The sequence below is a fragment of the Homo sapiens genome, chromosome 8 (assembly GCF_000001405.40).
Source record: "Homo sapiens chromosome 8, GRCh38.p14 Primary Assembly".
NCBI classification, from domain to species: domain Eukaryota; kingdom Metazoa; phylum Chordata; class Mammalia; order Primates; family Hominidae; genus Homo; species Homo sapiens.
The window spans coordinates 39350266-39363070 of record NC_000008.11 but is presented as its reverse complement, the minus strand read 5'-3'; the positions used below and the strand labels follow the sequence as shown (position 1 = coordinate 39363070).

At 36.7% G+C, this 12805-nt stretch overlaps 1 pseudogene across 1 annotated transcript in view; it reads right to left on the bottom strand.

Moving 5' to 3' along the window:
- ADAM5 (ADAM metallopeptidase domain 5 (pseudogene)) overlaps positions 1-12805 on the bottom strand; it is a 102747-nt pseudogene that overhangs the window by 54308 nt on the left and 35634 nt on the right. The window lies entirely within an intron of this gene.

Here is a 12805-nt window from a genome sequence, read left to right as displayed (position 1 = left end):
TTTGTAGTGAGAACATTATTATCCATTCTCTGCATTTGTCAAAAATACAACATAATTATAGTAACTATGCTATACAATAGTTATCTTGAATTTATTCCCCCTCTCTAACTTAATTACACATCCTTCAACCAACATCTCCCCATTCCTTCCTCCCTGAAACAACCATTCTAATCTCTAATTCTATGAGATCAACTTTTTAAGATTCTACATACGAGTATGATTATACGTTATTTGTCTTTCTGTACCTGGCTTATTTATCTTAAGATAATATCCTCCCAGTTTAACCATACTGCCACAAATTACAGAATTTCCTACTTTTTATGGCTAAATAGTATTCCACTGTGTATGTATACCACACTGTCTTTATCCAATCATCTGCTGATGGACACAGAGGTTGATTCCATAATTTGGCTATTGTAAATAGTGCTGGAATAAACACAGGAGTGTTAATGTCTCTTCAACAAACAGATTTTATTTCCTTCGGATACATACCCAGTAGAGGAATCACTGGGTCTCATGGTAATTCTATTTTTAATATTTTGAGGAACTCCCCTATTGTCTTCCATAATGGCCGTATTAATTTACAAGCCTATAAACAGTGTGTAGGGGTGCTCTTTACTCCATATCCTTGCCAAGACTTGTTATCTGTGGTCTTTTGATCATACCCATTCCAACAGAAGTGAGGTGATAGCTCATTGTGGTTTTGATTGACAAGATACTCAAGATAGTAATATTGAGCACTTTTTAAATATACCTATTGGCCATCTATATGACTCCTTTTGAGAAATGCCTATTCAGATCTTTTCCACATTTTTTAATTGGGTTGTTTTCTTGCTATTGAGTTGTTTGAATTCCTTATGTATTTTGGATATTAACCCTTATCAGATGTATAGTTTTCAAATATTTTCTCCCATTCTGTAGATTCTCTCTTCACGTTTTTGATTGTTTCCTTTGCTGTGCAGAGGCTTTTCAGCTTGATATAATCCCATTTGTATATTTTTGCTTTTGTTGTCTATGTTTTTGAAGTCATGTCCGAAATAATAACTGACCAGAACAATGTCATAAAGCTTTTTCCCTGTTTTCTTCAAGTAGTTTTACAACTTTGAGTCTTATATTTAAGTCTTTAATCCATTTCGGTTTTATTTTTGCACATGGAGAGAGATAAGGATCTAACTTCATACTGCTGTATGTGGACATCCAGTTTTTCCAACACCATTTATTGAAGAAACTATCCTTTCTTCAGTTATGTATTCTTGGCACCTTTGTAGAAAATCAGTTGACTGTAAATGAGTGGAATTATTTCCAGGCTCTGTATTTTGTTCCATTGGTCTAAGTATCTGGTTTTATGCCAGTACCATGCTGTTTTGGTTACTATAACTGTGTAGTATATTTCAAGGTCAGGTAGTGTGATGCCTATAGCTTTGTTCTTTTTGCACAAGATTGCTTTGGCTATTGGGGGTCTTTTCTGATTTCATTTGAACTTTAGGAATTATTTTTCTATTTCTGTGAAGAGTGTCATTAGTATTGTGATAAGAATTGCAATTAACCTGTAGATTGCTTCGGGTATTATAGATATTTTAACAATATTAATTTTTCCAATCCATGAACAGGGGATAGCTTTCCATTTATTTGTGTCTTCAATTTCTATCATCAATATTTTTTAGTTTTCAGTGTAGACATCAATTAACTCCCTGGTTAAATTTATTCTTAAGTATTTTATTTTTATCTATCATAATGGGATTGTTCTCTTGATTTCTTTTTGAGATAATTCACTATTAATGTATAGGAACACCACTGACTTTAGTATGTACATTTTGTATCCTACAACTTTACTGAATTTATGTACTAAATCTAACAGTTGTTTTTTTTTTGTTTTGTTTTGTTTTTTTGGTGGAGTTTTCTATATATAGATGTACCTCAGAGGTATTGTGGATTCAGTTCTAGAGAACCTCAGTAAAACAAATACAGTAATAAAGCAAGCCACATAAGTTTTGGGGTTTCCCAGTGCATATAAGTTGTGTTCACACTATATTGTAGTGTATAATAGCGCTATGCCTAAAAAATATACATACTTTAATTAAAAAATATTTTATTGATAAAAAGTGATAACAATCATCTGAGCCTTCAGTTTACTGGTAATCTTTTTGCTGCTGGAGGATCTTGCCTCAATGTTGATGGCGCTGACTAATCAGGGTCATGGCTATTAACAATTGAAGTGGCTGTGGCAATATCTTAAAATAGGACAACAATGAAATTGGCCACATCAATTGACTCTTTCTTTCCTGAAAGATTTCTCTGTAGCATGCAATGCTGTTTGATAGCATTTAACTCACAGTAAAACTTCTGTCAACACTGAAGTCAATCCCTTCAAATGTTGTCACTGCTTTATCAACTTTGTTTATGTAATATTCCAAATCCTATATTGTCATTTTGAAAATGTTCACAGTACCTTCACCAGGAATATATTCCATCTCAAGAAATCACTTTCTTCGCTCATCCATAAGAAGCAACTCCTCATCAATTCAAGTTTTATTAGGAGATTGCAGCAATTCAGTCACATCTTCAGACTCTAATTCTAGTTCTCTTACTATTTGTATCACATCTGCATCTACCTCCTCCACTGAAATCCTGAACCCTTCAAAGTCATCCATGAAAGTTTGAATCAACTTCTCCCAAACTCTTGTTAATGTTGATATTTTGATCTCCATCTATGAATTGCAAATGTTCTTAATGGTATTTTAAATGGTGTATCCTTTCTGAAGATTTTTAGATAATTTTGCCCACACCCATCAGAAGACACTATCTATGGCAGCTAGAGTCTTTACATAATAAGGCTTGAAAGTCAAAATGACTCCTTGATCATTTGTCTGACCATGGGCTGCAGAATGGATATTGTGTTAAGCAGGTATGAAAACATTAATCTGCTTATACATCTCCATCAGAGCTCTTGGGTGACTAGTCGCATTGTCAATGAGCAGTAATGTTTTCAAAGGAATCTTTTTTTCCTGAGTATTGGGTCTCAACAATGAGCTGAACATATTCATTAAGCCATGCTGTAAACAGATATGCTGTCATCCAGGCTTTGTTGTTCCAACATAGAGCACAGGCAGAGCAGATTTAGCGCAATTCTTAAGGGTCATGGGATTTTTGGAATGATAAATGATCATTGGCTTTAACTTAAAGTCACCAGTTGTATTAGCCCATAACAAGAGAGTCAGCCTAAAGCTTTGAAGCCAGGCATTAAATTCTCTCTAGCTATGAAAGTCCTAGAAAGCATCGGTATTAGGCCATTCTTCCACTGCCATAAAGTAGTATCTGAGATTGAGTACTTTACAAGAAAAGACATTTAATCGATTCATGGTTCTGCAGGCTGTACAGGAAACATAGTGGCATCTTCTTCTGGGGAGGCCTCAGGAAGCTTCCATTCATGGCAGAAGGCAAAGGAGGTCAGGCACATCACATGGCAAGAACAGGAGCCAAAGCAAGAGGGAGTTGGTTGGGGGAGAAGGGAGACATGCCACACCCTTTTAACCAATCAGATCTCATGAGAACTTAATCACTATCGTGAAGATAGCACCAAGCCATGAGGGATCCACCCCCAAAATCCAAACACTTCCCACCAGACCCCACCTCCAGCAGTGGGGATTGCAATTTAACAGAGATTTGGATAGGGACAAATAGCCAAACTATATTAGCATCTTTTTTCAATAAAAGGCTGTTTCATCTACACTGAAAATCCATTGTTTAGTGTAGATACCAGCATCAATGATCTTAGCTAGATCTTTTGGATAACTTGCTGCAGCTTCTGTATCAGCACTTGCTGCTTCACCTTGCACTCATGCTATGGAAAAATCTTCTTTCCTTAAATCTTATAAACAAACATCTGCTAGCTTAAAATTTTCTCCTGCAGCTTACTCACTTCTCTCAGCCATCATAAAATTAAAGAGAGTTAGGTCCTTGCTCTGGATTAGGCTTTGGCTTGAGGGAATGTTGTGGCCGGTTGGATCTTCCATCCAAACCACTAAAACTTTTTCCATATCAGCAATAAGCCTGTTTTGCTTTCTTATCATTTGTGTGTTCACTGGGCTAGTGCTTTTACTTTCTTTCAAGAACTTTCCTTTGTATTCCTAACTTGGCTAACTGTTTAGCACAAAGTCCTGGCTTTCAACCTATTTCAGCTTTTGACATGCCTGTCGCAGGAATCTTGATCATTTCTAGCTTTTGACTTAAAATGAAAAACATGAAACTTTCTTTCTGGTGAACGCTTAGAGGCCATGTATGGTTATTAATTGGTCTAATGTCAATATTGTTGTGTTTCAAGGAACAGAAAAGCCTGTGGAGAGGGAAAGACAGGGGAATGGCTGGATAGGGATCAATTAGAACATATACATTTATTGATTATTTGGATTGAATCTAATTGGAGACTTTTGACTTTTCCTGTACGTGGAGTATATCTTTCTCTAGGTTTGGAGAGTTTTCTCTTCTATTATTTCTGTAAATAAGCTATTTTTTTTTTTTTTGAGATGGAGTCTCACTCTGTCCCACAGGCTGGAGTGCAGAGGTGCGATCTTGGTTCACTGCAAGCTCCGCCTCCCGGGTTCACACCATTCTCCTGCCTCAGCCTCCCGAGTAGCTGGGACTACAGGCGCCCACCACCACACCTGGCTAATTTTTTTGTATTTTTAATAGAGACGGGGTTTCATCGTGTTAGCCAGGATGGTCTCGATCTCCTGACCTTGTGATCAGCCCACCTGGGCCTCCCAAAGTGCTGGGATTACAGGCGTGAGCCACCGCACCCGGCCACCATCTATCTCTTCATCTTTTTTATTCTTTCTTCAACACCAGCTGCTCATATATTACCTTTTTTGATGGTGCCCCATAAAGCCTGTGAGTTTTCTTCATTCCTTTTCATTCTTTTTCTATTTTCTCCTCTAACTGAATATTTTCAAAATAGTTATCTCCTATTTCACAGATTCTTTCTTTGGCTTTATCAGTTCTGCTGTTTGCACTCTTTACTGCATTTTTAAACATCATTCATTGTATTTTCAGTTCCAGGATTCCTGTTTGATTTTCAATCTCTTGGCTGCTAAAGTTACACTGGGCTAGAATTCAACCCTCCCAGCTGCTGAAGTCACCTTGTCACTGTGGGCTTTTGAAGCCCAACACTGTTGTAGTAGGTGGGTGGTGATGCAGGCCGAAACTTGAGGCCATCTTGCAGGGGCTAGAGGTTACTGTTTGGTGCTGCGGCAGGTCTGAAAGCTCAGATCATAATTACCAGCTAAGATTCAAGGGCCTTGGGCATCTGCCCAGTGCCAGGTTTTACTGCGGTTGACCTGGTATTGGTTAAAAGGTACAGTCCAAGTCTCACTTCCCTCTTTTTCTGGCAAGCAGACAGTATCTTTCGCTGTGCTGTGCTGTGCTATGCTGTGCTGTGCTGTGCGGTGCTGCCTGGGGTTCAGGGAGGGGCGATGCAGGTAATGTAAAACTGTCCTTCCTACCCTCTTTAATGAATCTTTTCTTATAGTAATCCCAAATAGCTGGGATTACAGGCGTCTGCCACCACACCCGGCTAATTTTTGTATTTTTAGTAGAGACGGGGTTTCACCATGTTGGTCAGGCTGGTCTCAAAATGCTGACCTCAAGCTATCCATCCATCTTGGCCTCCCAAAGTGCTGGGATTACAGCTGTGAGCCACTGTGCCTGGCCTTCATTTGCTTTTTCTATTGTTTCCTGCCAAAGATGTGTTAACAACTCTTAAAGTGATTGTGAATTTGTCTGTCTCTCCTCATAGTAAAATTTCGCTTTAAAATATTTTGAAACTATGTTTGCGTGATTTTTAATTTAGAATTATTACATGTCCTAGTGTGCTGGACCAACCCTGTTCTGGCTTGCAAGGGCCAATTGTTAAATTTTCAGAAATTTTGTGAACAGGTTGCTAACAAAGCCATTAATAAAAATTGAATTTCATTAACTTACAATGAAATAAATTAAATTTTTAAAAGGTAACAAATATTGAAAACATCATTTCTTATTTTCCTACATTTTAATTTTACCTATGCTCTTGAAAATATTAATGTCTATTATTAATTTTTGGTGGAAATACTGTATAATGATCTGCTACCATTCACATTTTTCCAACTCTGCATTTAATAATGTTGCATTTGTCACTTTAAATCTGCCATTGTGGGAGTGTTTAAAGGAAGGAATTCAGCAAGTGCTACAAATCAGGGCCCAAATCAGGTTTTGTTGATTGTCTTGGTGTGCGTGCTAAAAGGTTTTGGGTTAATTAATATAATTTGTATGAGGTTGAGAAATAATTCAACAGCAACTAATATACCAGATTTAATAAAGATGAATTTACTCGGTAAGAGTTAGCAAATTAGGATAGAACTCCAATTATCAAATCATGGTTGAATCACAATCATACACTGAGTTAACTACAGAATCAACAAAAGTATTCTGGGAGAAGTATTCTGGCTACATAAATTTACAGTAGAGGGTATTCTTGCATAACTGAAAGCATGTACCCTTCAACTAACTTAATTGCAATAAACTACACCCATTTAAAATGTTTAGTTTAATGAATTTTGCCATATGCATTTACTCATATAATCAAGTTACAGAACACTTCCATTGCCGACCAGAGATATCTCCTACTTATTGAAGTCAACCACTTCTTCACACTAAAGATTACTTGCCATTTTTTTATAATTTTACAGAAACAGAATCATATATCACATAACCTTGTGAATCTGGCTCATTTCAATCAGCATAATCTTTTTTGTGATTCACCAATGGTGATAAATTTACCAGCATTTTGTTCATTTTTTATTGCTGAGTAGTTTTCCAATGACTAGAAATACCACAATGTATCTGTCCAAATAATGATAGGTATTTGGATTATTTCTAGTATTTGGCTGCCATGAATAAAGCAGCTCTAAACATTCATGTAGAAATATTTTGGGGGATATATATTTTCATTTCTTTGGAAAAAAAATACTCAGAGATGGAAATCTAGGTCAAAAGGAAAGTATATATTTAACTTTATAAGACATGGCCAAAATGCTTCAAATATTTTTACACCCAACTAGCAATTTACACAAATTTCAGTTGCTCTACATCTCAACAAAACTCACTATTTTTATCAGAAGGGGATGTATTATTACAGACATTCTAATATGTGTGCAGTATATATGATGTGGTTTTAATTATTTTTCCCAGATGACTAGTGATATTAAACATCATTTCATTTTCTTATTGTCATTTATAAATAATCTACTGTAAACTGTCCAAATTATTTTGCCTAATTTTATTAGGTCATTTGTCTCCTTTTAATTGAGTTATAATATGTACTCTCAAGAAATACAGATTTTGTCTTTTTAAATTTTGTTTAATATAAAATATTTTTAGAGCATTGTTAGGATCACAGCAAAATTGGGCAGAAGGTACAGAGATTTTCCACATGCCTCGCCCACACACATACACAGCCTCCCTCCTTATCAACAGATCAGAGTGGTACATTTGTTACAAATGATAACCCTACCTTGACACACCATTACACCTGGAGTTCAATTTTACATTAGTTAGGGTTTACTTTGGTGTTGTACATGGTATGTGTTTGAAAAATTTATAATGACATGTATCCACCACCACAGTATCATACAGAGTAGTTTCACTGTCCTAAAAGTCCTCTGTGTTCTACCTAATCATCCCTCCCGTCCCTTTAACCCCTGGCAACTGCTGATCTTTTTACTGTCCCCATACTGTTATCTTTTCTAGAATGTCATATAGTTGAAACCATGTGGTACACAGCTTTTTCAGATGGCTTCTTTGACCTAGTAATACATATCTTAGATTTCTTCATGTTTTTTCATGGCTTGATAGCTCATTTCTTTTTAGCACTTTTTATTTAATAGACAATATTTTTAGAGCATTGTTCCATTGTCCAATGCAGCAAAGACTATTTATTCATTTACCTATTCAAAAATATTTTAGTTGCTTCCAAGTTTTGGCAATTAAAAATTAATCTACTAGAAACATCTGTGTGCAGCTACTAGAAACATCTGTGTGCATGTTTATATGTGGACATAAATCTGCAACTCTTTTGGGTAAAATACTAAAGAGAGTGATTGCCAGATAATATGGTAAGAGCATATTTAGTTTTAAAAGAAACCACCATCCTATTTTCCAAAATGGCTGTGCTATTTTGCATTCCACTCATCTTGCTTATTAAATAATGAATGAGAATTCCTGTTGCCCCACAGCCTCATCAGCATTTTGTGTTTTTAGTGTTCTAGATTTTTGATCATTTAATAGGTAGGTAGTGGTACCTTGGTGTTTTAATTTGCATTTCAGCAATAATATATGATGTGGCACACCTTTTCATATTTGCCATCTGTATACCTTTTTTTGGCAAGGTGTCTGTTAAAGTCCTTGGCTCTTTTTTACTCAGGTTGTTTGTTTTCTTACTGTTGAGTGTATTAGTCTCTTCTCAAACTGCTAGTAAAAACATACCCAATGCTGGGTAATTTATAAAGGTAAGAGGTTTAATTGACTCACAGTTCAGCATGGCTGGGGAGGCCTCGGGACACTTACAGTCATGGGAGAATGGGAAGCAAACATGTCCTTCTTCATATGGCTGCAGCGAGGAGAAGTGCCAAGCAATAGGGAGAAAAACCCCTTATAAAACTATCAGATCTCATGAGAACTCACTCACTATCACAAGAACAGCATGAGGGTAACCACCTCCATGATTCAATTACTTCCCACTGGGTCCCTCCCACAAAACATGGGGATCATGAGAACTGCAATTCAAAATGAGATTTGGGTGGGGACACAGCAAAACCATATCATTGTGCCCATGGCCCTTCCCAAATCTCATGTCGTCACATTTTAAAACACAATCATGCTTTCCCAGCAGGGTAAGTTCTTTCTGCCTATAAGCCTGTAAAATCAAAAGCAAGTTAGTTACTTTCTAGATGCAATGGGGTATAGACATTGCATAAATACATCCATTCCAAATGGGAGAAATTGGCCAAAATGAAGGTGCTACAGGCCCCATGCAAGTCCAAAATCCATTGGGGCAGTCACATCTTAAAGCTCTGAAATGATCTCCTTTGACTCCACATCTCACATCCAGGTCACACTGATGCAAGAGGTGGGTTCCCACAGCCTTGGGCAACTGTGCCCCTGTGGCTTTTCAGGGTACAGCACCCCTCCCAGCTTTCTTTGTGGGCTGGCATGAGTGTCTCTGGCTTTTCCAGGTGCACAGTGCAAGCTGTCAATGGATCTACCATTCTAGGTTCAGGAGAATGGTGGCCCTCTTCTCACAGCTCCACTAGGCAGTGCCATGGTGGGGACTTCTTTGGGAGGGGCTCCAACCCCACATTTCCCTTTTGCACTTCCCTAGCAGAGGTTCTCCATGAGGGTGCCAGCCTGCAGCAAACTTCTGCCTGGACATCCGGGCATTTCAATACATCCTCTGAAATCTAGGCAGAGGTTCCAAACCTCAATTCTTGACTTCTGTGTGCCCACAGGCTAAACACCACGTAGAAGCTGCCAAGGCTTGGGGGGCTTGCACCCTTTGAAGCCATAGCCTGAGCTGTGCCTCTGCCCTTTTAGCCATGGTTGGGATGTAGGACACCAAATCCTGAGACTGCACAAAGCAGCAAGACCCTGGGCCCAGCCCATGAAACCATTTTTCCTCCTAGTCCTCTGGGTCTGTGATGGGAAGGGCTGCCCTTCTGACATGCCCTGGAGATATATTCCCCATTGTCTTGGTGATTAACATTGGCTCCTCATTACTTATGCAAATTTCTGGAGATAGCTTGAATTTCTCTTTCTCTTCAGAAAATGGTTTTTTTTTTCTTCTCTATCACATCATCAGCCTGTGAATTTTCCAAACTTTTATGCTCTGTTTCCCTTTTAAACATAAGTTCCAATTCCAAACAATATCTTTGTGAATAAATTTTAAAAAGTCACATCTTGAATGCTTTGCTGCTTAGAAATTTTTTCTGCCAGATACTCTAAATTATCTCTCCCAAGTTCAAAGTTCCACAGATCTCTAGGGCAGGAGCAAAATGCTGCCAGTCTCTTGCTGAAGCATAGCAAGAATTACTTTTATTGCAGTTCCCAAGAAGCTCCTCATCTCCATCTGAGACCACCTTAGCCTGAACTTCATTGTCCATATCACTATCAACATTTTCATCAAAGCTATTCAACAAGTCTCAAGGACATTCCAAAATTTCCCACATCTTCCTGTCTTTTTCTGAACCCTCCAAACTGTTCCAATCTTCGCCTGTTACCCAGTTCCAAAGCCACTTCCACATCTTTAGGTTCCAAAGTCAATTCCACAGCAGCCTCCCACTCCTGGTACCAACTTACTATGTTAGTTCAGTCTCACATTGCTAATAAAGACATACCTGCCAGTGGGTAATTTATAAAAAAAGTTTAATTGACTCATAGTTCAGCATGGCTGGCAGGGGAGCCAGGACACTTACAATCATGGCAAAAGGGGAGCAAACACATCCTTCACATGGCTGCAGCAAGAAGTACCAAGCAAAAGGGAGAAAAGCCTCTTATAAAACCATCAGATCTCATGAGAATTCACTATCACAAGAACAACATGAGGGTAGCCACCCCCATGATTAAATTACCTCCCACTGGGTCCCTCCCCCCACATGTGGGGATTCTGGGAACTACAGTTCAAGACAAGATTAGGGTGGGGACACAGTCAAACTGTATAATTGAGCTTTAAAAGTTCTTTGTGTATTTTGGATAAAGTCCTTTATAATGTCTGTCTTTTGCAAATATTTTCTCAAAAATCTGTGACTTGTCTTTTCATTTTCTTGAAAGCATCTTCTGCAGAGAGACATTATTTAAATTTCAATACAGCCCATCTTCTCAATTATTTATTTCATGTATGTGCCTTTGGTTTTTTTAATCTAAAAAGTCATTGCCAAACCCAAGATCTTCTAGATTTTCTCCTATGTTATCTCATAGAAGTGTTACAGTTTTGCATTTTACATTTAGGAGTGTGATCCATTTTAAGTTAGTTTTTGCAAAACGTATAAGGTTTGTGTCAATATTCACATTTGTGCACATGGATATCCAGTTGTTCTAGCACCATTTGTTGAAAATACTATCTTTGTTCCATCATATGATCTTAGCTCCTTTGTCAAAAATCAGTTGACTATATTTATATCGGTCTATTTCTGGGCTCTGTATCCCATTCCATCAATCTATCTGTGTATTCTTATGTAAATACTACACTTTCCTCATTGTTGTACGTTTATAGTAACTCTTGAGTCAGGTAGTATCAGTCCTCAAACTTTGTTATTGTCCTTTAATATTGTGACTATTCTGGGTTTATTGCCTCTCCATACAAACTTTAGAATTACTTTATCGGTATCCACAAACAACTTTTCTGAGATTTTGATTGGAATTGCATTGAATTTCTAGATCAAAGTTGGAAGAGCTGACATCTGAAAATATTGTTTTCCTATTTATAAACATGGAATATTGCTTAACTTATTTGGTTTTTTCTTTTTTTAAAATCAGAGTTTTATACTTTTCCTCATATAGATCTTGAACATTTTTTTAGATTTATACCTAAGTATTTAATTTCAGGGAATGAGAATGTAGATGGTATCGCATTTTTAATTTCAAATTCTACCTGTTCATTGTTGGTATATATGAAAAAGGTTGACTTTCATATATTAACCTTGTATCCTACAACCTTGCTATAACCACTTATTTGTTTCACATGGTTTTTTGCTGTTGCTGATTTTTTCAGATTTTTTACATAGACTATCATGCCATTTGGGAACAATGACACTTTAATTTCCTTCCTCCGAATGTGTATCAATTTATTTACATTTATCATTTATTGCATTACCTAGGGCTCCCAGTGTGATATTGAAAAGTAGTGGTGAAAGGGGACATCCTTCATTTGTTCCTGATTTAGTGAAAAAGCTTCCAATTCCTCACAGGTCGGTTCTTTGTTGATATTTTTTAATTGAGTTGAGGAAGTTTTTGTCATTCTTAATTTACTCAGTGTTTTTATCATGAATGATTGTTAACTTCTATAAAATGCTTTTAATGCATCTATTAATATGATCACATAATTTTTCTACCTTTACTTTGTTGATGTGATGGATTACATTAGCTGATTTTCAAATGTTGAACTAGCCTTGCACATTTGGGATAAATCCTACCTGATTATGTTGTACAATTCTTTTTATACATTGTTGGAATTTATTTGCTAATATTTTGTTGGGTATTTTTGCCTCTATGCTTTTGAGTGATACTGTTTTGTAGTTTTCTTTCTTTGTAAGGCCTTCATTTTGGTTTTCAGTATTTGAGTATGCTGACTTCACAGAATAAGTTAAGAAGTATTTCCTTTGCTTTTATCTTCTAAAAGAGACTATAGAGAATTGGTATATGTTTTTTCTTTACATGATTAGTAGAATTTACTGGTAAATTCACCTGGGCCTGATGCTTTCTCTTCTGGAAGGTTATTAATTATTTATTCAATTTCTTAAATAGATGTAGGCCTATTAATATTGTCTGTTTTTGTTTAAATCTGGCAGATTGTATTTCAAGGATTTAGTCAATTTATCTAAGTTATAAAATTTGTGGGCATAGAGTTGTTCATATAGCTCTTTGATCATCCTTTTAATACCCTGTCTGTAGTGATGTACTCTCTTTTATTTCTGATGTTAGTAATATGTGTCATTTCTCTTTTTTCTTAGTCTGATAAGAGGCATATTAATTTTATTGATCTTTTCAAAAAACCATCTTTTAA